Source organism: Homo sapiens, chromosome 10 (assembly GCF_000001405.40).
Source record: "Homo sapiens chromosome 10, GRCh38.p14 Primary Assembly".
In the NCBI taxonomy this organism is placed as follows: Eukaryota; Metazoa; Chordata; class Mammalia; order Primates; family Hominidae; genus Homo; species Homo sapiens.
The window spans coordinates 77,656,621-77,661,191 of record NC_000010.11 but is presented as its reverse complement, the minus strand read 5'-3'; the positions used below and the strand labels follow the sequence as shown (position 1 = coordinate 77,661,191).

Here is a 4,571-nt window from a genome sequence, read left to right as displayed (position 1 = left end):
GAAATACTTGACTTAATTTTACCCATTCATTATAAAAGGATACAACTCAGGTACAGCTTGAAGAAAAGACAGATAGGGCAAGGTATAAAGGAAGGGGTGCAGAGCTTCCCTCTAGGGGCACGCCACCCTCCCAGTTCCTCCATGTGTTCAGCAATCCAGAAGCTTCCTGAGCCTCAGCCTTTTGGGTTTTTATGGAGTCTTCTTTGTGTAGGCACAATTGATTATATCATTGGACATTGATGATCACCTCAGCCTTCAGCCCTCCCCCTCCCTGGAGGTCAGGGGGAAGAGTTGAATATCCCAATCCTCCAATCACAAGGTTGGTTCCACTGGCAACCAGTCCCCATTCTGAGGCTATCCAGGGGCCCCCAGCCAACAGTCAACCCATTAGTATACAAAAGGACAAATCACTTCTGCTACTCTAAGGGTTTTAGGAGGTGTGTGCTAGGAAACCTCCTAGTTTCCTAGCACTTGTGCTTGGATGAAGACCAAATATATATTTCTTATTAAAAATCACAATATCTACTGAGTGTGGTTGGTCACACTTGTAATCCCAGCACTTTCAAAGGCCAAGGTGGGCAGATCACTTGAGACCAAGTTTTGCCAGCCTGCCCCACATGGTGAAACCCTGTCTCTGCTGAAAATACAAAAAATTAGTGGGGGTGGTGGCGCATGCCTGTAGTCCCAGCTACTTGGAGGCTGAGGCATGAGAATAACTTGAACCCAGGAGGCAGAGGTTGCAGCAAGATCGCACCACTACACTCCAGCCTGGGCAACACAGCAAGACTCTGCCTCGAAAAAAAAAAAAATCACAATATCCAGTAACACATGCCAAGATGGGGAGAGAGCACTCTGATAAATAAGTTCCTGGAACTAGACCCTCTCTCTGACCATGTCAGTGGGAGTTTTCATCATAAGCTTTGGAAGCCCTGGCTCCTGTGCAGGTCTCGGTTGCTGTTCCAGCCACTGGCTGTCAGCAGGACTCAGAGGCTCCCATGGCTAGTGACCCACTTGGTGGCGGTTGTTCCTGCTGCCCCTCTGCTATGGGTGGTTTCTCTTTCCTGTGGTAACCCTCTGCAAACCCCTCAGCAAGATGCTGCCCCTGTGACTGTATGGATTCTTGACCCTGCTTACAGAGTTCCCAGGCTATTTCCTGAAAGCTCTCTTAAGGAACTTGTTCTGATGTCCCTAGAGTCAGGAAGTCACTGTAGAGTCACAGTTACATCTGGAGCTTTGGGGAGAGAATTCTCCAGACCTTAGTAACTGTGTGTGATCTCAGGTAGCACTTGGTAACAGCTCTGAATTCTCCTTCCTGTGTCCCACTGTGGGCTAACCAGGCAAACCAAATCCCGTGAATAACCTGGGTTACCTGCTACTCCCGAAGATGGGTATGCAAATGTGAAAGGAAAATATCTTGGGTTCCCGAAATCACTAAGCTAAAGGGAAAATTCAAGCTGGGAACTGCTCAGGGCAAATCTGCCTCCCATTCTGTTCAAAGTAATCCCTCCGCTCACTGAGATTGTAGAAAGTAGAAAACTTCCTCTTCAAAGCTTGTCTTGTTTAAAAATAAAATAATAGACACTAGGAATAATAGTTCCTTACTCTAAACCCTCCTATCAACTATTAGTTCTTACACTTTAGCCCAGTTAGTTGCTTTGGCTTACTCAGGCATGTCTGGACAGGCCCAGGCAAATCTTAGCTCATAGCTTATGCCCCTTCCTTATTTGGAAATGTTATTGCTTCCTTAAACCTTTCATAAGCAACTTCCTCTCCTTCTTTGTCCTTCCCTGCACTTACCTATTTAGGAAAGTTTCAGGTTATTAGCAAATCGGATATCAGTGAGGTCCTTCTCCAGCAAATGGATGCAGGACACAGCAGTAAGGATGACCCAAATGAGTAAGGGATAAATATGTCTGCTTTTCCTTTGTTCAGGTATATTCTCACCATTGTTCCATCTGTGATTGAGCACCCTTTCTGCAGAAAGTAAAGATTGCCTTGCTGAGAGATCTTATGTCTACGTGCTGACTTTTCTTCATGGCACCGATTATCTATTTCTAACAATTTTGGTATTTCTAACATAGATGCATATTCTGATTGCCTCCTTTGGAAAGGCTTATGAGAAACTCAAAAGAATGCAACCATTTGTCTCTCACATACCTGTGACCAGGAAGACCCCTCCTTGCTTCAAGTTGTCCCCGTCTTTCTGGGTGGAATCAATGTACTTCTTACATATATTGATTGATGTCTCATGTTTCCCTAAAATGTATAAAACCAAAGGTGTGCCCCAACCACCTTGGGCACTTGTTGTCAGGACTTCCTGAGGCTGTCTCAGGGGCACGCGTACTCAACCTTGGCAAAAATAAACTTTCTAAATTAGCTAAGACCTGTCTCAAATGTTTGGGGTTCACACAAGTCATCCACAGGTTACTTTCAGGTGGAGCCATGTCTTAGTTTGCTTGGGGTGCTTTAAAAAAATACCAGACTGGGTGACTTATAGACCACAGAGCTTTTTTTCTCACAGATATGGAGGCTGGAAAAGCCCAAGGCCAAGGTGCCAGCAGATTCAGTGTCTGGTGAGGGCCTGCTTCCTGGTTCATCGATGTTCCTTCTTGCTGTGTCCTCACGTGGTAGAAGGGGTGAGGAGTCTCTCTCAGTACTCTTTTATAAGGGCACTAATCCCATTCACCTCCCAAAGGCCCTACTTCCTAAAACTATCACACTGGGGATGAGGACTAAGCTCTGATTTTTTTTATCTTGCCCAAATTCCTAAGGGGTGTGGGGAGTCATGCCCTACAAATCATAAATTCTCATCAGATGGGTTTATTTAACCCTGTGTATCATGACTTACTTTCCAATCTGACTCTGGCATAACAAGGAAGAAAATTTGAAATGTTTTACCCCAAAATATATTTCCTTGCCATACCTTGAAATTGCCCTGCAAAGTCTCTTGTGGGAAAAAGCCACATTCTACAGAGAATACCTTTGCCCCTCTGTTTTCCTTCCTTCCTTCCCAGATCCAGGAGATAATCAACTATGATCCAGGGACCCTTTTAAGTCTGATAAGAAACAATTTACAACCTGCTGTCTCTGAAGTCTGCTATCGGAGAGCTTCCTCTGCACAATAAAACTTGGTATGCACAACCCTTTACCTTAACCTGAACATCCCTTTCCATTGATCTCAGGTCTTCAGACAAACTCAGCCAATTATCTGCCAGAAAGTATTTAAATTTACCTGTAGCCTGGAAGCCCCCACTTTAAGTTGTCCCACCTTTCTGAACCGAACCAATGTATTTCTTAAATGTATTTGATTGATGTCTCATGCCTCCCTAAAATATATGAAACCAAGCTGTACCCCCATCACCTTGGGCACATGTTCTGAGGACCTCTTGAGGGCTGTGTCAGGGGCCAAGGTCACTCATATTTGGCTCAGAATAAATCTCTTAAAATATTTTACAGAGTTTGACTCTTTTTGTCAACAGGGATTAGGTTTCAACATATAAATTTCGGGGATGGTGGACACAAATATCCAGACCATAGCAGGCTGGGTGCAGCCGAGCCTTCTTCTATAATCACAACTGATACATGAGTGCAGAAGTCAAGTTAGCTTCAATAACTAACCTATGTTTTCACTGTACAGAGACAAACCACTCTCATTCTTTCCTCCTGCTGATGAGGTGCAGAGCTGGTATCATTGCTTTAGGGAAGAGAGGGTCTGATGGCAGCAGCCCCAAAGCTACAGGAATATTGGTTTCTCAATTCAGGCAACAACTCCCTATCCACACTTGATCCTCTGATGTGGGCTTTCTCAACACTATCGATATTTTGGACCAGAAAATTCTTTGTTGTCAGGGGCTTTTTGTGCATTGAAGGATATTTCGCAGCAGACCTGGCTTCTACCTACTAGATACCCATAAGCAACTCCACTCCCACCCGAGATAAGACAACCAAAGCTATCCTCGTGAGATGGAGCAGGGACCCCTCTCAGGTTGCTGAATGTACCCTAAACATGGAAATAAAGGGAAATCTTAAGTTCCTTCAAGGGAAATTCGAGGCACCGAGCTGGCTCTGAGAAGAAAGTGAGCAAGTGCATAACCTAAAAGGAAATGGTAGCTTAAACAATAGCCAAGGACGTTAGAGCCATGAGGTGTTTGGTTCCCTATAGAAACTAAAGGTAACACTTTAACACATGTCCCTGAGTGGTTCTTCAGAAACCCAGACCCCTACCAGATGGATCTACTGGCACATAGACCTCAGATAAGGGGGAACTGAGGACTGAACTCTTACCGCTTTTGCTGGTCTTTGTTCTAAAGTTCTTCCTGAGGGGCCTGAAGGAAGTTATGCCCATGAAATAGGCAACATTCTCTACTTCTTTTTTTAAACAAAGCTTATCTTCCTTAACCAATTGCAAATCAGAAAATCTTTAAACCCACCTGTGACCTCTAAGGCCCTGCTTCCAGATATCCCACCTTTTCAAGCCAACCCACTGTGTAACCTCTATGTATTGATTTAGGATTTTGCCTGTAACTTCTGCTTTCATGAAATTTACCCATGCCTTTGAAAACCCTTACCTG

The 4,571-nt window shown here is 44.4% G+C and overlaps 1 annotated feature.

The window, feature by feature from the left end:
* Window positions 1,051-2,250: an enhancer, noted in NCBI's record as "MED14-independent group 3 enhancer chr10:79418700-79419899 (GRCh37/hg19 assembly coordinates)". NCBI's record gives its function as "activates an origin of replication core promoter dependent on BRD2, BRD4, P300/CBP and CDK7 cofactors, and independent of MED14, by STARR-seq in HCT116 cells {active_cell/tissue: HCT116}" and the evidence as "EXISTENCE:reporter gene assay evidence [ECO:0000049][PMID:35650434]".